Source organism: Homo sapiens, chromosome 14, assembly GCF_000001405.40.
Source record: "Homo sapiens chromosome 14, GRCh38.p14 Primary Assembly".
Taxonomy (NCBI): Eukaryota; Metazoa; Chordata; class Mammalia; order Primates; family Hominidae; genus Homo; species Homo sapiens.
In genome coordinates, this window is record NC_000014.9 from 67,624,095 (window position 1) to 67,647,077 (window position 22,983).

General features: G+C 41.7%; 2 protein-coding genes and 1 long non-coding RNA gene across 3 annotated transcripts in view; 2 read left to right on the plus strand and 1 right to left on the minus strand.

Annotated features, from left to right (window-relative positions):
• The window catches only part of GPHN (gephyrin), a 1,227,209-nt gene that overhangs the window by 1,115,948 nt on the left and 88,278 nt on the right, over positions 1–22,983 (plus strand). The gene's annotated exons all lie outside the window — the stretch shown is intronic.
• Positions 1–22,983, plus strand: part of ARG2 (arginase 2) — a 31,789-nt gene that overhangs the window by 4,175 nt on the left and 4,631 nt on the right. Inside the window, exons 3-6 of the mRNA NM_001172.4 lie at positions 18,092–18,269; positions 21,549–21,708; positions 22,550–22,644; positions 22,827–22,931. Of these exons, the coding sequence (NP_001163.1) occupies positions 18,092–18,269; positions 21,549–21,708; positions 22,550–22,644; positions 22,827–22,931 (538 nt within the window). The remainder of the gene's footprint in view (positions 1–18,091; positions 18,270–21,548; positions 21,709–22,549; positions 22,645–22,826; positions 22,932–22,983) is intronic.
• Positions 1,773–15,619, minus strand: LOC124903331 (uncharacterized). Its single transcript, XR_007064218.1, has 2 exons — positions 14,499–15,619; positions 1,773–5,246 (listed from the first exon to the last, which is right to left on the minus strand). It is a non-coding gene; the product is annotated as an uncharacterized LOC124903331 (long non-coding RNA).

The following is a 22,983-nucleotide window of genomic DNA, read 5'->3' on the forward strand; positions in this document are numbered from 1 at the left end:
AAAAGGCATTGCTCTGGCAAGGCTGAGGAGCAGTATATCTGCACTCGATTTTGGTTAGCTCTGAGAACCATGGTAATTTGTGAATTCTAGCCACCTGTTACCATGTGAGAAGGAGTGGGCCTTGTACTCTTTTCTCCAGTTTTTCAAGAAAAGCCAGAAATTTGCACTTTAATGGGAAATCTGTGTTGTTTTAAAATACTGTATAGTGACACCATTGAAAATGGTGGCATAGGACCTCCAAAAAAGGAATGAGAACTGTATTAGTCTGTTCTTGTACTTTTGTAAAGACATACCTGAGACTGGGTAATTTAAAAAGAAAAGAGGTTTAATTGACTCATGGTTCTGCAGGACATACAGGCTTCTGCTTCTGGGGAGGCCCCAGGAGAATTATAATCATGGCGGAAGGTGAAGGGGAAGCAAGCACGTCTTATATGGCAGGAGCAGGAGGAAGACAGCGAAGAGGGAGGTGATACACACTTTTAACCGGATCTCATGAGAACTCTATCATGAGACAGCACTAGGGAGATGGTGCTGAACCATTAGGAACAACCCCCATGATCCAATCACCTCCCACCAGGCCAGACCTCCAACATTGGGGATTAAAATTCAACATGAGATTTGGATGGGAACACAGAGCCAAACCATATCAAGAACATTGGCAAAAATGATCAGAATCAGCTTTTTCAGAACTCTGGAAATTAACCAAAGGCTTGCAGCAATCTGGGGAGCATTTATTCAAGAAAAACATTGAATCTCAGTAAGAACATTAAGAATTGTGGCATTTTAACTTGCCCTGTTCCCATGCTGCCTTTTCCCAGATCAGCTGTAGCCTGGACAACCGATAGCCTGCAATCACAGTGAAACCAGGAGGCTGGCAGTTACTGCAAAAGGGAGAACAGAGGTGATACTCCTCATAGACCATCCCCAGAAAATTGTCATTTGACTGGTCTGATGGTTTCCTAAAATTGTCCATTCACAAGGCTGTCTTTATTTGACCAACACAAGTCAGTAAGGAAAGAATAGTCTTCAGTAAATGGTGCTGGGATAACTGGATATCCACATTAAAAAAAAAAAAATCCCTATCTCACACCATATATGAAAATTAACTCAAAATGGACCAAAGTCCTAAATGTAATGCTGAAACCATATAACTGTTAGAGAACATAGGACTGGATTTTTGCGACCTTGGGTTAGGTATTGGTTTCTTAGCTATCCCATCAAAATCATAAGTGACAAAAATTAAACTTGACTTAGCTAAATTAAATACATCTATGTTTCAAAGAGCACTATTAAGAAAGTGGGGGCCAGGCACGGTGGCTCACGCCTGTAATCCCAGCACTTTGGGAGGCTGAGGCAGGCGGATCACCTGAGGTCAGGAGTTCGAGACCAGCCTCAACATGGAGAAACCCCATCTCTACTAAAAATACAAAAAAAAATTAGCCGGGCATGGTGGTGCATGCCTGTAATCCCAACTACTCGGGAGGCTGAGGCAGGAGAATTGCTTGAACCTGGGAGGCGGAGGTTGTGATGAGCCGAGATTGTGCCATTGCAGTCCAGCCTGGGCAACGAGAGCAAAACTCCATCTCAAAAAAAAAAAAAAAAAAAAGAAACTGGAAAGACTTCATCAATGTAATGAAAAACCAAAAAAAAAAAAGAGAAAAGGTAAAAAGACTGCCCATAGAATTGGCAAAATATTTGCAAATCATATACCTGATAAGATTCTAGTGTTCGGCAAACATAAATAAAATAACAACCGTAAAAAGACAACCAAATTTAAAAATTAGCAATAGATTTAATTAGCCACTTCTCCAAAGAAGTTATACAAATGGGCAGTAAACACATTAGTCATTACGGAAATGCAAATTTAAAACTACAATGGCCGGGTGTGGCGGCTTACACCTGTAATCCCAGTACTTTGGGAGGCTGAGGCGGGCAGATCATTTCAGGTCAGGAGTTCAAACCAGCCTGATCAACATGGTGAAACTCCGTCTCTACTAAAAAATACAAAAATTAGCCGGATGTGGTGGCACACTCCTGTAGTCCCAGCTACTCAGGAGGCTGAGGTGGGAGAATCACTTGAACCTAGGAGGTGGAGGTTGCAGTGAGCAGAGATTGTACCACTGCACTCCAGCCTGGGCAACAGAGTGAGACTCTGTCTCAGGGGAAAAAAAAAACCACAAAACTACAATGAAATACCATTTCACACCCACTAGGATGGCTATGATAAAAAAGATAGACAATACCAAGTATTGGTGAGGGTGTAAAAAGATTCGACCTGTCATACACTACTGGTGTGAATGTAAAACTGCAGCCACTTTGGAAAACAGTTTGGCAGATCCTCAAAGTTAAATGTATAGTTACTGTGTCCTCAAGCAAATCCATTCCTATGTATATACCTAACAGAATTCAAAACATATATTCACACAAACTTTTTTTTTTAGACAGTCTCGCTCTTTCACCCAGGCTGGAGTGCAGTGGTGCAATCTCGGCCTCAGCCTTCTGAGTACCTGGGACCACAGGCAAGCACCACCATGCCCAGCTAACTTTTGTATTTTTAATTTTGCCATGTTGGCCAGGTTGGTCTCGAACTCCTAGCCTCAAGTGATCCACCTGCCTCAGCCTCCCAAAGTGCTAGGATTATAGGCATGAGCCATTGCACCTGGCCACACACAAACTTATATACAAATATTCATAGCATTATTCATAATGGTCAACATGTGGAAACTCAAATGTACATTAATTGAATAGGGGAGGAAAATTTGACATATCCATATAATGGAGTATTATTCAGTCATAAATGGAATGAAGTACTAATTTATGCTACAACATGGATGAACCTAGAAAACATGCTAAGTCAAAGAAGGCAGACACAGAAGGCCACATGTTATATGATTCCATTTATATGAACTGTCTAGAACAGGCAAAGCCATAAAGACAGAAAGGAGATTAGTGGTTCCCAGGAGCTGGGAATGACTGCTAAAGGGCATGGGTTTCTTTCCGAAGGGTGATGGGACTGTTGTAGAATTAGGTAGTGTCGATGGCTGCACAACTTCTTGAATATATTAGAAAGCACTGAATTATAAATTCTAAAAGGATGAATTTTATGGTATGTGAATTATATCTCAATAATTAAAAAACTAGGCAATTGTGATCAGTAAGGAGATATATATATATATATATATATATATCTGAAACTTCTGAATTGCTAATATTGATCTGTTTTGTGACTTGGGTAGTAATTATAGGGTGTTTACAACTATCTGTTATACTTATGTAAGTTTTATGTGTTTATATTTTATGAAATATACAGTAAAGACACATTACAAATCATGTCTGTTGATAGATATCCATCTTTTCAAGCTCTAGTTTTGGGCATTGAAAAGAGATGAAACTGGCATCTCTGAGGTGCCTTTTGAACAGTGTCATATCTTTGGGACAAGAATTGGTTGCTAGGTTGACTCAACAGCAAATATCAGTGATGTTTCTGAAGAGACTGTAAGGCTGTATGATCCACCAAACCTTCTGCCTCTGCCATTCACACTCTTCTATTAAACACTTAGCAAGGCATAGTGGCTCATGCCTGTCAGCCCAGCACTTAGGGAGGCCAAGGTGGGAAGATTGCTTGAGGCCAGGAGTTTAAGATCAGCCTGGACAATGTAGCAAGACCCCATCTCTACATTTTTTAAGAGTCTATTTCCACAGCAAGGAAGAAATGAAAGTACAGCACCTGTCCCATTTCCCACAAAAAAGTCTTTGCCTAGGGTCTGCATATGTGACTGGAAGCTAAATTATTGGAATGAGCTTGTTTGTTTAAGGTTATTAAAGTTCTGGGTTCTTTGACTTCTAAAGTCACTCTGATATGTATTTGGAAGAGTAAATGTCTAGCAAATTGGCTTTATATTTCCTTTAGAGATCTAGCAAAGACCAAACCTGCTTTGGACCTCATCTGTGCCACAGTGCCCTTGGGGGATGGGCCACCTGTAGCAGAGGAATAGGAGCTGAGGCATGAGCTGATAAGTGGCATCACTTTAGGGCCCTCTCCAATCTCACCTGGAATGTCACTAATAGTGACCTATTTCTTTGGGTTCAAGCTTTTCATTTTCTGGGCCTCCTTTATATTGCAGATTCTTTTATTTTATAGATAGGTCTCACTATGTTGCCCAGGCTGGAGTGTGGGGGCTATTCACAGACATAATCATAGTACACTACTGCCTCAAACTTCTGGGCTCAAGCAAGCCTCCTGCCTCAGCCTTCAGGATAGCTGGGATTACAGATGTGCACCACTGTGCTCGGCTGCAGATTCCTTTTAGGAGGTGAATACATAATCAGTAATTTGCTAATGCCTTAGTAAAAACTTAGTGATGTGCCTGCATAGAGGGAAATCTATAATAGACACTATTGGGATTTGGCAAATTTCAATGTAGCCGTATATTTCCCATTTATGACAGCAAAGATTTTAACTTAATACCTCTTATTTAACTTAATACCTCTTATCAAAAGTTTTTTGATACTTAACATTTACCATCTTCTAGACACTGTGCTAGGCATTTGCTATTATCCCATTTTCATAATTTGTAAAAAGCAAATTTTGACCACCTCAGCCATTAGGATGGCTACTATCAAAACAGAAAATAAGAAGTGTTGATGAAGATGTGGAGAAATTGAAACTCTTTTACACTGTTGGTAGGAACATAAAATGGAGCTGCTATGGAAAACGGTATGGCAACTCCTCTAAAAATTAAAAATAGAATTACTATATGATTTAGCAATTCCACTTCTGGGTATGTACCCAAAAGGACTGAAAGCAGGATCTTGAAGTAGTTGTGTACCCATGTTCACAGCAGTATTAACAATAGCCAAAAGGTGGAAGCAACCCAAGTGTCCATTGATGGATGAATGGACAACCAAAATGTGGTACATACATATAATGGACTATCATTCATTCTTCAAAAAGCAGGGCTGGGTGGGGTGGCTCATGCCTGTAATCCCAGCACTTTGGGAGGCTGAAGCAGGAGGATTGCTTGAGTCCAGGAGTTTGAGACCAGCCTGGGCAACTTAGCGAGTCCCAATCTCCACAGTGGGGGGAAAAAAATTAGCCAGGTGTGGTGGTGCATGCACATAGTCCTAGCTATTCAGGAGGCTGAGGCAGGAGTATTGCTTGAGCCCAGGAGGTTGAGGCTGCAGTGAGCTATGATCATACCACTGCATTCCAGTCTGGCAGCATGGACAACAGAATAAAGCCTCATCTGTTTAAGAAACAAAACAAAGAAACCTGACATATGCTGCAATATGGGTGAACTTTGAGGACATTATGCTAAGTGAAATAAGCCAGTGACAAAAGGACAAATACAGCATGATTCCATTTATATGAAGTTTTTAGAGAAGTCCAATTTATAAAAACAAAGTGGAATATCAGTTACTAGGACTTGGTGGGAGAAGGAAATGGGGAGTTAATTATTGCTTAATGGGTACAGAGTTTGTTTTGCAAGATGAGTTCTGGAGATGGATGATGGTAGTGATGGTAGTGTCCAATCAACTTCTCAGTCTTCTCGGCTCTTACTACAAAGGAAGAAACTGTACTACCCAGATTTCTTTTTTAATAGAAATGTTATTTATAGTTAATAACGAATGCACTGCATAAAAACTTTATAGTTTCATTATTGTGAAATGTGTTCAAGATCCTACAGTAAAAGTGAAACATTCCCAAGGACTTGCGTTAGTGAAGACTACACAGAAAACCTTTCTAAGGATTTGTGTGGATCCGATAGATACTTGGCAAATTTTTGAGTTGTACATTCTTACAGAAAGTCCACTTAAAAGTGATCATTTGTAAGACAAAAATATAAATAGTTTCAAAAATCTTTAAAAAATCATCCTAAATGCATGATCTTCACCTCCAGCTTCTGAAGAGCCCTCGTTCTCAGTGTCTTCCTTCCCACATTTCCCACCACAGCCATCTCATGATCCTCAAGCTCATGCTTTTCCAGTTCGGGTAGGGACTCTCTCAACTTTCTCCCTGTCATCCCCCACATCAGTTGTATTGACAAAGAACGTCAGAGGATGAAGGTCTAGTTCTGTATTAGGTTTGTGCAAAAGTAATTGCGGTTTTTGCTGTTGAAATGGGTATCATAGATAACAGTGCCCATGGTAAGGGTTCAAAATTAACAGTGGAAAGAAAAATAGTTCATTTCACTCTCAAGTAAACAATTTGGAAAGTAGTCCAGAGCTGGTTTAGTGGTTCTCTTCCTTTAAGTTCAGACCTAGATTCTTATCTGGTGCTACTGGCAAGGCCTCTGCCTAATGGTGCCAGATGGTTGTAGCCTCAGCAGCAGGATGGAAGAATGAACAAAGAAAGGGGCAAAGGCAGTTCTCTTCCCTTCCCAAGAAGTTGCTGCGGGACACGGTTCTGCTTATCCTATTGTCCAGAACTAGTTCATGTGACCACATCCAGTTACAAGCGAGGTTAGTAAATATAGTTTTTATGTTTATTTATTTATTTATTTTAGATGGAGTCTCGCTCTGTCGCCCAGGCTGGAGTGCAGTGGCGCGATCTTGGCTCACTGCAACCTCCGCCTCCCAGGTTCAAGCAATTCTCTGCCTCAGCCTCCATAGTAGCTGGGATTACAGGCAGCTGCCACTGTGCCCAGCTAATTTTTTGTATTTTTAGTAGAGATGGAGTTTCACCATCTTGGCCAGGCTGGTCTGGTCTGGAACTCCTGACCTTGTGATCCACCTGCCTTGGCCTCCCAAAGTGCTGGGATTACAGGTGTGAGCCACCGTGCCCCGCCCATGTAGCATGTAGAATGTAGTCTTTTCTAAGAGGTTAATGCTCCCAGCTAAAAACCTTTTCTTTCCGGAAAAAGGGAAGAATGAATGTTGGGTAACTAACACTCGGCAGTGCCCTCTCCCTATGCTCTAGACCCCCTCCCCTCTGACAGTCCCTGCTCCAGCATTATCCCTCCCCTCACCTCGTGTCATGGCTCTTCTCTCCTAACCTGTCCTTTCGGTAATTAATTGTGCAACCCTTACCCTCCACCATCCCCCTTGACCTTAGGTAGCCCTCTAGCTGTTGTCCAGTTATTTTGTTTTTCTTCAGAGCCAACTTCCTGGCTTTCTCATTGCCCTTTCACATTTCAGCTTGTTATAATGTGGCTTCGTAGGCCATCATTGCAATAAACCTAGTATTGCTGCAGTATCTGACCTACTTTCTAATACAATGAACAGATGAACAGTGTAACATTCACCTTATTTACACCACTAATCTTTCTTTATTGAAACCAACACTATTCTCTCTTGGCTTCAACTCTTCAAATTCCTCTAGTAAATCCTTTCTTTCTTTCTTTTTTTTTTTTTTTTTTTGAGACAGGGTCTCACTCTGTCATCCAGGCTGGAGTACAGTGGTACGATCTCAGCTCACTACAGCCTCCACCTCCCAGGTTCAAACGATCCTCCTACTTTAGCCTCCCAAGTAGCTGGAACTACAGGGACATGCCACCACACCAGTTAACTTATTTATTTTTAGATACAGGGTCTCACTATGTTGCCCAGGCTGGTGTTTAACTCCTGGCCTCATGTGATCCTCCTGCCTTGGCCTTCCAAAGTGTTGGGATTACAGGTGTGAGCCACTGCATCTGGCCTACATCCTCTTTTTCTAGCTACTTCTTACATGTCAGTGTTCTCAGGATTCTGTCCTTGATTCTCCTGCTTTATCCTGTCTTGGTTGGCAGTCTGCTTCCATGGCTTTACTGTCACCTGTATGCTGATGCCACCCAAAGCTCTATTTTTTTAAAAATTTTTTGAGACAGGGTCTTGCTCTGTCACCCAGGCCAGAGTGCAGTGGTGTAATCTTGGCTCACTACAACCTCTACCTCATGGGCTCAAGTGATTCTTCCACCTCAGTGTCCCAAGTAGCTTGGACCACAGGCTTGTGCCACCATGCCTAGCTAATTTTGTTTATTTTTTTCTTTTTGTTTTAGAGATGAGGTCTCACTATGCTGCCCCAGGTTGGTCTCAAACTCCTAGACTCAAGCAATTTTCCCACCTCAGCCTCTCAAAGTGTTGGGATTACAGGCATGAGCCACTATGCCCAGCAAAAACTTTATCTCTAATACTTATTTTTCCTCCTAACTGCAAACCTGTATACAGATGTCTTCCATGTATCTTATCTTTTTAACTTTTTGTTATGGAAGTATTCAAACATAATGAAAGTAGAGATGGTAACATAACTGACTTGATATATCCATAAGCCAGCATCATCACCAATACGTGGCAATGTTTTTTACACCACCTCCAGACCATTTTGGAGTAAATCAGACATCTTGTTTCATGGACTGGACAGCACCTTTGATCACACACAGTGTATCCTAACTTTATTATGGCCACCCAGAGGGGAAACAGACTTCTCATATCTTAACACAGGAGGTGGTTTTGCAAATTGGAGCAAGGTGCCCACCATTTGTACCCAGGGGAGTTAGGCTCTTACCCTTCTGTAGGAACTGAGAGGTTGAGGCACTATCTCCCTAAATGTTTGCATCTCCAGGAGATGGCTTCCTGGGTCCTTGAAGAAGCATTCCTGGGTTGTGAGACTTGTGAGAGGCCTATTTAGTCATTATGAAGATTCACATAAATTTGAAAAGCACACAAATATTATGAAATAGAAGGAAGGAAGGGAGGTCTCTTTCTTTATTTTCAACAGGGAGAATTAAGCCTCTTAATTTTTTTTTTTTTTTTTTTTTTTTTTTTTTGAGGCAGAGTCTCGCTCTATCGCTCAGGCTGGAGTGCAGTGGCGTGATCTCGGCTCACTGCAAGCTCCGCCTCCCGGGTTCACACCATTCTCCTGCCTCAGCCTCCTGAGTAGCTGGGACTACAGGCGCCCGCCACCACGCCCGGCTAATTTTTCGTATTTTTAGTAGAGACAGTGTTTCACCATGTTAGCCAGGATGGTCTCGATCTCCTGACCTCGTGATCCGCCCGCCTCGGCCTCCGAAAGTGCTGGGATTACAGGCGTGAGCCACTGCGCCCGGCCAAGCCTCTTAATTTTTAATTAGTATTGTTCACATTGCCTGATTAAGTTACACTTTTTAGGTTTATTTTGTTGTTTTTTGTTTTTAAGTTTGAGTTGAATTCAAATGAGGTCCACATTGCTTTATACTTTAAGACCTTTGTAGGTTCTCTCTTTTTTTTTCTTCTTTGCAGTTTATTTATAGAAGAATCTAGGTCATTTGTCTGCAGAATTTCTCTGTTTAGATCCCTGTGGTGTCCTATGACATATTCTATGGCGATGTATACTTCATCAGAGGTGACATTTCAGCGATACTGTCAGCCATTGACGATTGCCTAGAATTATCCATTAACTTGTCTCCATGTGCTTTCAACAGGATAGTCTCTAACACATCAATGTCAACATATCCCAAACTGACCTTATCATCTTCTCCCTCCCTTCCCATGCCCCTCTATTGCTGGACACTCTGTTCCCTCTCATTTATTTCTTTAGCTTCCTGTGGCACTCTGCTTCTCCAGACCATTTTCTACACTGCTGTCTGAGCACTAGATCCAAAATGCAGATTTGATTTGTCTTCCTGGCTTAGAAACCACGGTTGTTCCCCACCACATTTAGGACCTGGGCCTTGCCCCGGCTCCTGCCGCATCTCTTTGCAGTCCTCTAGGTGCACTCTGGGTTCGGAGGAATTGTGCATTGTTCTATAGGGCTGAAGGCATTCTCTCCTCCTCAGTAAGCATTTCTTCCTCCTCTCTTATTCCTGGCTAATGTCTTCCAGACTCAGATATTGCTGCTTCTGAGAAGTTCTCCTGACCCTTCTCTTCCTGGGTCTCTGTTCCCGCCACACCCTTTGTACATCTGGTTCATAGCAATTAGCACTGGGCTGGGCTGCCACTTTCTCTGCCTGACATCCTACCAGCCTGTGACCTCCTTGAAGTCTGCACCATACCTTATTTCTGCATTCCTAGGATTTAGTGGAGTGCTAGGCACAGAGTATACTTTTGTTGAAGGAAAAAAGGAAGCAAAGCATCTTAGCTTTCTCCTGTAACTTCATTCACATCACAACCCTTGATGAGTTTTCCCAAACCAGTATTTTGTTTCTCTGAAAATGATCTGCTACTTAGAAGCCACCTGGTCTCCCAGATTTTTAAAACGTATGACTCAAAGGATAACTGCCATATATCAAACTTTAACTCTTGCAAGCTAAATGTTAGTAGGGGCTGGGTGCGATGGCTCACACCTGTAACCCCAGCACTTTGGGAGGCCAAGGTGGATGGATCACTTAAGCCCAGGAGTTCAAGACCAGCCTGGGTAGCATGGCAAAACTCTATCTCTACCAAAAAAAAAAAAAAAAAAAATTTAGCTAGGTGTGGCTTCTGTAGTCCCAGCTACTTGGGAGGCTGAGGTAGGAAGATGGCTTGAGCCTGGGAGATGGAGGCTGCAGTGAGCTGAGATCACACCACTGCACTCCATCTTGGGCAACAGAACCAGACCGTGTCTCCAAAAAAAAAAAAAAAAGCTAGTAGGTAGTAATGATGATGAGTTATTGCTCCCTTTTTTGAAATACATTTTTAAACCAGGACATCAGTAGATAATGACTGCTTTCTTCAAGTAAGGCTGACCTCTAATTACTTTAGACAGATGGTGCATTGTTATTTTAATATCCAAAATAGTACAATTCAGAGGCAGAACCTAAGAGATTACAGTGGTTGGCTTAAATAATTTAACCTTTGAATAAATTTACTTATCCCTCTCTATTAATGACCAAACCTTGGAGGAAGGAGATGTTACAAGGGCTGGTTGGAGCTGTCTCCTCTGAAACTCTGAAGAAATGAACTGGGACAGATATCTCAAGACACATGGTTCTTTGGCTGGGCGCACGGTGGCTCACGCCTGTAATCCAGCACTTTGGGAGGCTGAAGAGGGTGGATCGCCTGAGGCCAGGGGTTTGAGACCAGCCTCGGTAAAATGGCGAAATCTTGTCTCTACAAAAAAATATAAATTAGCCAGGTATGGTGGCGCATGCCTGTAGTCCCAGCTACTCTGGAGGCTGATATGTGAGAATTGCTTGAGCCTGAGAGGTTGAGGCTGCAGTGAGCCATGTTTGTGCCACTGCACTCCAGCCTGAGTGACAGAGTAAGACCATCTCAAAAAAAAGAGAAAAGGTTCTTAAGGTTGTACAGTCTTTGGGAGTTAAATGCACCAAATAAAATTCAGATCTCTGCATTTTATTGGTAGTAACCAAATGAGTTTACCTAAATAACAGTCTCTTCAAAGGTTATTACCCAAATTACATTTTATGGATAAGAGAAATTCTACTTACTTCAAATGGCCTGAATTAACCCTGGCATCCCCCATTCCCCACCCTCCAGTTTAGACTTCTAGTAACATTGCAACTTTATTTTTAATAAGCTAGTATTTCAAGTACAAGCTTGTTCTAAGAATTAGCAGTCACATCCCTTTAAAATTCCAGGAATTCGGCCGGGCACGGCGGCTCACACCTGTATTCCTAGCACTTTGGGAGGCCAAGGTGGGTGGATCACCTGAGGTCAGGAGTTCCAGACCAGTCTGGCCAACATGGTGAAACCTGTCTCTACTGAAAATGCAAAAATTAGCCGGGCGTGGTGGCAGGCACCTGTAATACCAGCTACTCGGGAAGCTGAGGCAGGAGAATTGCTTGATCCGGTGGGTGGAGGTTGCAGTGAGCCAAGATCACGCCACTTCACTCCAGCGTGGGTGAAAGAGCAAAACTTCATCTAAAAAAAATTTTTTTTAAATTTTAAATTAATTTCCAAGAATTCCTTTTGCATGGGGCTAAATCTGCCATGTAAAATATTTGAGTCTGTAACTTTAAAAGCCATTAGTACCCTCTCAGCACCAAGTGAGGATGCAGAGTCTTTGTTTTTCTCCTGATTTCACTGACTTGTTATTCCTGACAAGTCACAAACATTTCTATCCTATTCATATTTAGAAACAATTTGGAAAAACTGCACACTAAGAGGCCCCTAGCTTTTCTCCATGTCTGTTATTCTACCAATGGGTTGCCTGTGGCTCAGCAGACCCTCCTGTGTGTCAGCCCACTTTGAAACCCATCTCTCTTGACTTGCTATGAGCCCTGGTAGCAACAGGGGTCACAGCAGTAGGGAGAATGGGATAGTCTTATGCTGTCAAAAAAAAAAACCCAAAAAACAAAAAAACAAAACCTTACTCATCATGTAATCATATATGAGCTCTAACCAAAGAGTAATTCAGTTGCTGTTAAACAGTTGGAGCTATTCAGCCTTGCTGAAATTCTTCCTCTGCAATGTGTGGATAGTGACACCAGCAGAGGATGTGAGAATGAGCACGTATCTGTAGAGCGTGTAGCACAGTGTGGTGTGTAGAGGCAGACAATTATTATCCATTTCCTGTCTCTGGCTTCTTTCAGGGATTTACTCACTAGCCCTGAAATAGAAGTGCTGTTCACAGATATTGCTAAGGTCAGGTAAGGCTGTTTTGATTTCTTCCTTACAGCCTGGTTGCATCATTCTGTTGATGCACTTGTGTTCTTGTTCCACTCTGATAGAGCCTGGAGAGGTTTATCAAGGCCAAAGGTAACATCTGGGCCTGAAAGATCAGAGTAGTACTCGGTGTATTTTATTACCAGCACTCAGGAGAGAAGCAACAAGGCTGTGCCAGTGTATAAACAGCAAGTGAAAAATGAGACCCTTTCACATTGTTCCAAATCTATTTGACATGAGAACTTCCTTGAAATTTCAGGCTCCTCTTGTCCTACAATGTCCTCTTAGAAGAAAGAGCAGCAATGAAACACTAGGTCTCATCTGACCTGGACTTACAGATGAATTGACCTGATGCACAGTTAGAGAAAGGGAAAGTTCCCACAGGCATAACAGCCAGACACATATTCCTTACACATTACAATGTCTGCATTTTTCATCATTACCCTAAGCTTCTTGAAAAATTAGTGAGACCGTTTCTTATGACCTATGAACCAGAAGAACTTGCCACAGCACTCTGATAAAGAAATAGCTTTAAGGCTGGGCATGGTGGCTCACACCTGTAATCCTAGCGCTTTGGGAGGCTGAAGTGGGAGGATCACTTGAGGTCAGGAGTTCGAGACCAGCCTGACCAACATGGCGAAACCTCGTCTCTACTAAAACTACAAAAATTAGCTGGGCATGGTGGTGCATGCCTGTAATCCCAGCTACTTGGGGAGGCTGAGGCAGCAGAGCCCCTTGAACCAGGGAGGTGGAGGTTGCAGTGAGCCGAGATCATGCCATTGCACTCCAGCCTGAGCGACAGAGCAAGACTCTGTCTCAAAAAAAAAAAAAAAAAAAAAAAGAACTTTAATATTACTCAGTTCATCCTGCTGTTACAAAAAGTTAACTTCCCATCAGCCTCCTCACTCCTCTTAAAAAAAAACTGTAGCAGATGGGTTACAATTCATGTTTTCTACAACAACATACTAGAACCAGGGTTCAGATAATCCTAGAACTAGGGTTCTGTTCTACCAGTCCTTTGGGTATTGGTAGTACCCAATACTATTGGCACAGTGGGCATTAGAGGAGAAAGCTCTTAAGAGGTGACATCAGGCTGGCATCATGTATTTGTTGATTCAGTTATGTAATTAACTAGAATAGTTTAACATAAATTTGTAATCCTAGAGCAACTTTCATATTTTGTTCTTAAAGGTTATGGCAGTAGAATAAAAAAGTACTCACGGTGGCATACATTGCTAGCTGTCCACCAAAATCCATTCGCATTCTGTTCTGGACATAAGCTAGACCTGCATTTGCTGGCCAGTGCCAAAAGTGAGCAGGAGTAATGTGCCACTTTCAGGCCAGAGTCTTGAAAAGAGGAGGTGTGCTTTCTCAATGCTTTCTTCCTCTCCCGCTGCCTTGAACCTGGGGAGACCTAGACTTAGCCACACAGATGGCAAAGTCCTAGGCATGAGAGCCACAAGCCAGGTCTCTGAATTACTGCATAAAGGAAAGCCTCCTGCTGACCTGGAATATCTACCCTGGATGCTAAACAAACAAGAAATAAACTTGTTTGAGCCATATTTTGGGCTCAAACATATTTTGCTATGACAGTTAATTTACTCTAATAACCTTACTTAAAATAATATTATGTATTATGCCTATAACTAGCCCAGGCATGGTGGCTCACATCTGTAATCCTAGCACTTTAGAAGGCCATGATGGGAGCATTACTTGAGCCCAGGAGTTGGAGACCAGCCTGGAAAACACAGTGAGACCCTGTCTCTACAAATAATCCAAAAAAAAAAGAAAAAAAATGATTAAAGTCTGAAAGGATACAGTAGTAAAACCCGGGCAGTAGGTTTGGGACCTCTGATATACACGTTATCCAATTTTACAGAGAATTTCAAAACAAAACAGTGCAAGTACAAACTATTTGTCATAGGAGTTCTTCTTTGACGCCCCTGATCCTCAGTGAACTTCCCCTGACTCCTTTAGGACTCATTGTCCCAAGTCCTTACCTGGCACTGAAACTGTGCAAATTATAGAGTTGAGTTCGTTCTTCCTGAATATTCTAGGGGGAAAAAAGAAAAAACAGAGTTGGGAGCAGGAAGGTAGGCCACTCAGGCAGGGCCTCTCAAGGTATAAATCCCTTTAGAGGAGGCTGGCCCTTAGCTTTGTGGATGCAGAAACACAAGGTTGCTGAGTGCATAGCTCATCAGGCTTTCAGACCCAGACTCATGCTAACCATGCTGGATCAACCAAAATGCCCGTGCATAATTATGTTAAGCAGTAGTCCTTCCAGTGTCCACTGTCTAGAAGCTTTTGCCCATATTAAGGCATGTGGGAAACCAACTGAATAGCCAGAATGCTGTTTGGTGAGATGGCATCGGAGTAAATGGAGTTGGACAATGTGGACAGAATCCACTACCCAGGTTGGGAATTAATCTGATGAACCCCCGACAGAAGTTAGTAACCCTTCTAGCACCTGTAATGAGAGCAGAGTGGTGGCCTGAATTAGCGACTGAAATCCTTCTATGAAATTCAGTCTCTCTTCCTGGGAACGTTACTGTAAGATTGCCAAATTCTCTTTAGGTTCCTTTTTAGGCTTTGTGCAGCTTTTTTCTAATACAAGTGAGTACTGTTTTCTGTCACGTTTATCTGAGTCTACATCCTGGTTTGCATGATTGGACTTGGGTAGTCCCAAAGTTCTGTGACTTATCCACTGGATTGAGCACTTTAATTTCCCTGTATTTCTTCTTGGTCCTATGAGGATTGAATGAAAGTGCTTGGCAAATAGTTCTGAAACGTTAGTTAATATTATTTAACTCCAGTTTGGGGCCTTTTATATGACTATTCCTTAGAGTGCAATTACCAAAATATAAATTTATAAAGATTATAAATCTTTTATAATTGTACACCTAATATTATAAAACACCAGGCATACCCTGGTGTCTTACATCTAGTAAGAACCTAATGGTTGATGTGATTTAAGGAGAGTGCTGAGATAAACATGGAGGTGAAAGTAGAAACATCCAGGAATTGTCCATTCAAGATCTGTACAGTACACTGGGTGCAGTGGCTCATGCCTGTAATCCCAGCACTTTGGGAGGCCGAGGCAGGTGGATCACTTGCGGTCAGGAGTTCGAGACCAGCCTAGCCAACATGGCGAAACCCTGTCTCTACTAAAAATACAAAAACAAATTCACCAGACGTGGTGGCGCACACCTGTAATCCCAGCTACTTGGGAGGCTGAGGTAGGAGAATTGCTTGAATCCAGGAAGTGGAGGTTGCAGTGAGCCGAGATTGTGCCACTGCACTCCAGCCTGCATGATAGCGCAAGACCCTGTCTCAAAAAAAAAAAAAAAAAAAAAAAAAGTCTGTGCAGTCCAGGATTGTGTTGTCAACAGACAGAGGAAAGACTTGATATTGACTTGAAGGTTAATTAAAGCTTTCATTCTCTTAAGTCTAAAGTATCCTCTCCATATTTTGAGATTTGGTGAAGTCCATAATGACTTTACTCAAACCTTTTTGTCTTTTTTTAAAAAAATAAAAGATTTTTATAGATGTTTTATTTGGTTCACATTTTTATCTTGGTTCACAATGTCTTTGGCCTGTTGTCATATTTTTCTCCTCCTACCCCTGCTCTGCTACCTTTTTATCTGGTTGTCTGGATCTTCTCCAGGTTGGGGCCTTTTATATGACTATTTCTTAAAGTGTAATGACCAAAAGATAAATACAGAATTCTTGCTGTAGGTGTATCTCACCTTTAAGAATAGGTCTGGGTGACACAAGGGCTGGGGAGGAAAAAAAGAATAGGACAAAGTTTTCTGTCTTGTTTCCAATATCTCTTGCGGTGGCAATTCCTTGGTTGGCCTCATGGCTTTTTGTTATGGTCACTGCTCCTCAAATTTTTATATTTCTTCAGAATTTTGGCTTTGGATTGAGTTTGGGTTCAAGAGGTAGAGCTCAAAATTATAATTTAAATTCATGATGAGTCCATGCTGCTCTTAATCCGAACCTTTAACACAAATCTCTGCAAATATTAAGATACGCCACGTCTTATCTTGTTACTGCCCCTTTCCCACCAATACCAGGACCCTAAGAATATAATCTATGTCAATGTTCTGTTCTCTGATAGTTCAGATCCCTTTTTGATACAGTCAGATTATTTAGTCCTCATCCTAAATGTAGCATCCAACTTAGGTGGGGAAATATTCAAAGCTGTGAGAATATAGCACTAGTTCTTAAAGTGTTGGACTCATGAGGAATTCCTTAGGAGACAAACTGCATAGTAAAGGATAGAGGTTGAGCGTCCCTAATCCAGAAATCCAAAATCGGAAATGTTCCAAAATCTGAAACTTTTTGAGCACCAATATGACATTACAAGTTACCCTGAACACACTGTATTAATGGTATGTCATATTTTCTGCTTTTAAGTACTTATGTGTGAAAAAGTAAGAAAATAACTGCCTATCAGTAGCATATAAATTCAGAGTCAGGAAGATGGTGATGCCAAACAATCATATTGTCCACATGGGTGGCTGTGATAGTGACACCTTTGTTTTCTGATGGTTTAATGCACACAAACTTTGTTTCATGCACAAGATGATTTAAAATATTATATAAAATTACCTTCAGGCTATGTGTATAAAGTGTGTATGAAACACAAGTTTTGTGTTTAGACTTGAGTTCCATCCCTAAGATATCTCAATATATATATAATGCAAATATTCCAAAATCTGAAAAAAATAAAAAATCTAAAACACTTCTGGTCCCAAGCCTTTGGATAATGGGTACTCAACCTGTACAAACTTTGGAGCCAGATGGCCTAGATTTGGATCCTGATTCTGGCACTTAATAGCTGTGTAACTTGGGCGGTTACTTCTCTTTGCTTCAGTTTCCTCATCCACCAAATAGGCACATTTTAGTTGCCTCACACAACTGTTTTGAGTCTTAAATAAGAATTTATGTTAAGCAGCTAGAACAATGCCTGGGATCTTGTAAATAATCAATAAATATTAGATATTTCTTTTAGGATGTTTCAGATTGGCTATTTATAAAAGTTTATAATATGTGAATTTCTTGGCCAGGCAGGTGGCTCATGCCCATAATCCCAGCACTTTGGGAGGATGAGGCGGGAGGATCAGTTGAGGTCAGAAGTTTGAGACCAGCTGGGGCAACATAGCAAGACCCCATTTCTACAAAAAGAAAGTTTAAAAAAATGAGACTCTCTTTGTGTATTTTTTTGCTAAATTAATAGTACTTAATTTCCTTTAAAATTGTTGGTTCTTAATTTTCTTTAAGATTGTTGGTTCTTTTTGATATTTTATTTCTACTCTATCACTCCAGGATATCTGAGGTCTAATGGTTAACCATTTTTTTATTGTTGGGTTAAGTCAATCGATATCTCTTAGTTTCAGTTTCCAACATCTGCAAAACTGTTCATAATAGGATCGAGATAATCTTCCCACAATCATTTGACATTTTAAATTTTACTGTGACAAAATGATTATGATGTGTACTTTGTCACGTATTATCATTGTGGCCCAGGCTAGTTAAGAGTTGGAGATAGCACAGAAAATTCATCTTGTCATCCCTCATTTGCTTCCAGGCTGCCACCTAAAAGACTTTGGAGATTTGAGTTTTACTCCAGTCCCCAAAGATGATCTCTACAACAACCTGATAGTGAATCCACGCTCAGTGGGTCTTGCCAACCAGGAACTGGCTGAGGTGGTTAGCAGAGCTGTGTCAGATGGCTACAGCTGTGTCACACTGGGAGGAGACCACAGGTAAGCTGGGAGCCAGGCGTGGTGAGGGGATGGATTACATGGTGCTTGGGGCTCATAACTTAGCTTCTTTATCTGTTTCTTCATCTGGAGAAAAATACCCTACAGAATTTTTAGGGTAGATATTAAAATGAACAGCAAGCATTTAAATGTCTAAGATCCTGAGCTGCTCAAGGGGCACTGTGGTTTTCTTTGTATGACACATTGCACAGTAAGAATATGTACATTCAGACACAGCAAGTTCAGAGGTATACTAGGCAAGGTTCCTAGGCACTGTGTTAACATGCTTGTCTCCTGGAAAGCTTTCTTGAGACTTATCTTATGACTTTGGAGAATTAGAAAGATCCATTGATAGGCTGAATGTGCAAGTTTTTGTTAGCATTTCTGCTAATAGACCTGTTAGAAATCCCCTTTGGCATGTTACTACATTTTCTTTTTTTTTTTTTTTTTTTTTTTTTTTGAGATAGGGTCTGGCTCTGTTGCCCAGGCTGGAGTACAGTGGCATGATCTCAGCTCACTGCAACCTCTGCCTCCTAGGCTCAAGCCATCTTCCTACCTCAGCCTCCCAAGTAGCTGGGACTACAGGTGCATGCCACCATGCCTGGCTCATTTTTGTATTTCTTGTAGAGACAGGGTTTGGCCATGTTGCCCAGACTGGTCTCGAACTCCTGAGCTCAAGCGATCCTTCTGCCAAGGCCTCCCAAAGTGCTGGGATTACAGGCATGAGCCACTGTGCCCAGCTGTGGATACATTTTCTGCCTCCACAATATGGACCCTAGTGACTCATGCAATCAGTCCTTTGATCCTGTCTCCTCCTGAATCAGCATGTACTTTATTGAGCACTGTTCTGATATTTTCTCAGCAGTGCTAGAGATTGCAGGAAATTTGTGATATATTAAGGCCTAGATGAAATAAATATACATGGAATAAACAAAAATATTGAATTCTACAGAATTTCAAAGGAGGAAGAGATCAGTCTGGACTAAAATAGATTTCACAAGGGAATGTGATTTGAAATAAGCAATGAAGGTCTTCAGTAGGAAGAAGGCACTGAAGTACTAGGAGTATTGAGCACTCCATACATATTCTCAGTTAATTCTGCTAACAATGCTAGGTGGTAGATATGGTTTTATCATTTACTGCTGGAAGCATGTAGGGACAGATATATAAGAACTTATCCAAGGTGGGCACAGTGGTGCATGCCTGCAGGCCCAGCTACTCAGGAGGCCAAGGTGGGAGGATTGCTTGAGCCCAGGAGTTTGAGGCCAGTCTGGGCAACACAGTGAGATCAGGTCTCTTAAAAATAAATAAATAAGAAAGAAAATATAACTTATCCAAGGACTAGAACCAGGAAATAGAGCTGGGATTCAAATCCAGTGTGACTCTTCTGGTGATTATTTTCCCTGAGGTGCTGAGAAAGCTTTTCAGATCACTGAACAGAAATGAAATCTTTGTTACATCTGGAGAAGCAGGTAGATTCCTCCTTGGGAGTAAAAAAAAAAAAAAAAAAAAAAAAAAAAAAGACTCAGGTTGAAGAAAACGGTCACACCCAGGTTCCCTACTGAGATGACTAGGCCATTCAATTAAATCAACCAGAGGGCAAGTCTCCTGCCTCCTTTCTCAGTGTAGTCTCTGGAAATTTATTAAGTCTGTCTGCTGTTCTGAGTTCTGGTCAAGTCTCACTGTTTGGGGACCACTGATCAATGTGATTACCACAGATCTTGTTTTCTTTTCCTGTGGCTATCTATATTGCAGCCATGTTACTGCTTACCAGCTCAATGTTAAAGCTTAGGCAATCTGAAATTCTAGAGAGGAAGAGATAAGTGCATAACTTGAATAGCTGTTGAACATTTTCAAGAAGAGCCATTTTTAGGTCACTGCTCCTTTTATGTAGTTTAACATATATTACTACTTTAATCATCAAAGCAACTCTGATTTACACAGGCCAAGTATTATTATTATCCCTATCTCACAGAAAAGGAAACTGAAATCTAAAGAAATTAGATGGTTTGTCTTCAGTCACACAGCTCTTCCAGGACTAAAACTCTAGTATTCTGACTTAATCCACTGCCTTTTCACTAGACCATGCTATTCCTCAAAAGACCCAACCAGTGTGGGACATGGCACCTAGAATAGCTGTCTCATGCTATATTGACCAAGAAGGATGGTTGCAGTCCTAAGATGCTTAAGCTGCATTTCCCATCTATGTCAAATTCCTTGGTTACTGGGAAGCTTTCCAACATTTATTTCATCAGGTGTATTCTTAGAATTGAGACAGAACAGTTGGCTAATGTAAGCAGAGCCCAAGGACAAGGAAAGGCAAAAACAGAAATACACTTTAAGATCTTATATTTGAGGCTGGGCATAGTGGCTCACGCCTGTAATCCTAGCACTTTGGGAGGCTGAGCCAGGTGGATCACTTGAGGTCGAGTTCAAGACCAGCCTGGCCAACATGTTGAAACCCCATCTTTACTAAAAATACAAAAAATTAGCCAGGCATGGTGGCATGTGCCTGTAATCCCAATTACTCGGGAGGCTGAGGCAGGAAAATAGCTTGAACCCAGGAGGCGGACGTTGTAGTGAGCTGAGATTGCGCCACTGCACTCCAGCCTGGGAAACAGAGCGAGACTCCGTCTTAAAAAAAAAAAAAAAAAATTGAATGCCATGCTAATATATATAAGGTAACATGCAATACATCTTTTTACTCAGTGGTCTAAATTAGGTCTTTAATGGTTTACCCTGTTAATGTCTCCAAGAGCTTTTCTTACAGATTTTGGTGAGTCGTTACCTATAGACTGTACCATTTACCTAGATTTCTTTTTTTTTTTTCATTTTTGGAGACAGGGTGTGACTATTTTGCCCAGGCTGGTCTTGAACCCCTGGGCTCATGTGATCCTCTCACCTCAGTCCTCTGAGTAGCCAGGATTACAGGTGTACACCATCTTGTCTGGCTTAACTTGATTTCATTCATTGAACAAATATTTGAGGTTCTTTTCTGAGCAGGGCTAATGGATAAAATTATACGGATTTGGGGACAGGACAGCAGTGACATCTGTCACACTGCAGGGTAGCAAGTCACCAGCTTCGAATCTCTAGGGCTTTATCACTCAAGATTAATTTTTGAGAACTACAACTACAGGTCTTGCCTCACCCAAACCCAGTCTCCATCTAGGCCCTGGCTTTGCACTGTGGAGAGAGTATAAGTTGTTTTGGCTGAGGACGTTTGTTATCGGTCATGTTTGCCAAGCAGAGGGCCTTCAAGATTATACTTGTTCTTTGCAGCCTGGCAATCGGTACCATTAGTGGCCATGCCCGACACTGCCCAGACCTTTGTGTTGTCTGGGTTGATGCCCATGCTGACATCAACACACCCCTTACCACTTCATCAGGAAATCTCCATGGACAGCCAGTTTCATTTCTCCTCAGAGAACTACAGGATAAGGTCAGTGGGCCAAAACGAAAAGAAAGGTGAATGGCTTGCAGGGTTTTGCTGGAGTTGGTCTAGTTCAGTTAAGATTTTGGTGAAGGGTGGGTTGAGTGTGGATTACCACTCCTTCATTTGTTCATCACTATTATGGACCAGGCAGTCTGCCAGATGCTAGGGGTATAAAGACTAGACATAGTCTCTGTTCTTTGTAAGAAAGCAAGGAGGGGGTAGTAACAATAGCGACTGATATACCCACAGCCTGAGGACTTCTTGGTTAGAGGCTCCCAGGCCATACTCTCAGACACACTGATCTAGAAGACAAATAAAACCATGACCTCTGGGTAATATTTTCCTGAGCAGTTCAGAATATATGGGAGTCCATGTTAGGCACAGACTAGAATCTGTATATCCCTCCCCTCAGTGAGGGACCAAGTCAAACCAGGACACTACAAAGATTATTCATTGGGCGGAAGTCCTGTGTCGGCTGTTGGCAACTTGAGATGGCAACCAGGTTATGCTTCAAGAACCAATCTGTAAACAAGTCAGTAATGTGCAATGGGATAGAAAAGGGCTAATCAGCAGTATTCCTGCTACTAGGTAAGTTAATGAGAAACCAAGACAACCTTAGAGATTTTATTCGTCTTGAGAAAGCAATACTGTGTTCCTCAGCTGCCCTTCTGAAACATTTCCACCTTGTGTCACTTCTCCTTCCCAGATCAAGTGTGTCCTGTGTTGCTCTAAACTTACCCTGTGGGTGGCAGAAGAAAGCAGATTGCATACCCACGGACGCACATGATAATGATCTTGGTGAGAACAAGAATTCTTGATTAATCCTGTCCATTTCTCCCTTTCATAGGTACCACAACTCCCAGGATTTTCCTGGATCAAACCTTGTATCTCTTCTGCAAGTATTGTGTATATTGGTCTGAGAGACGTGGACCCTCCTGAACAGTAAGTTGATGCATTTGGCTGAAGTTTAGGGCCTGTCCTAGCCAATTATGTTCTATTTGAAAGGCTGATGCTTAACTTGGTCTATTGCAGGTCACTACAACAAACCCACCCTCTCCCCCAAATACATATTTGTTAAAAATGCTCTTTAAACTAAGGACTCCTCCCTTTATATCTCATCACAGTTTTATTTTAAAGAACTATGATATCCAGTATTTTTCCATGAGAGATATTGATCGACTTGGTATCCAGAAGGTCATGGAACGAACATTTGATCTGCTGATTGGCAAGTAAGTAACTATAACTGATGTCAGGGCAAACCCCCAATGGGCAACACACTTT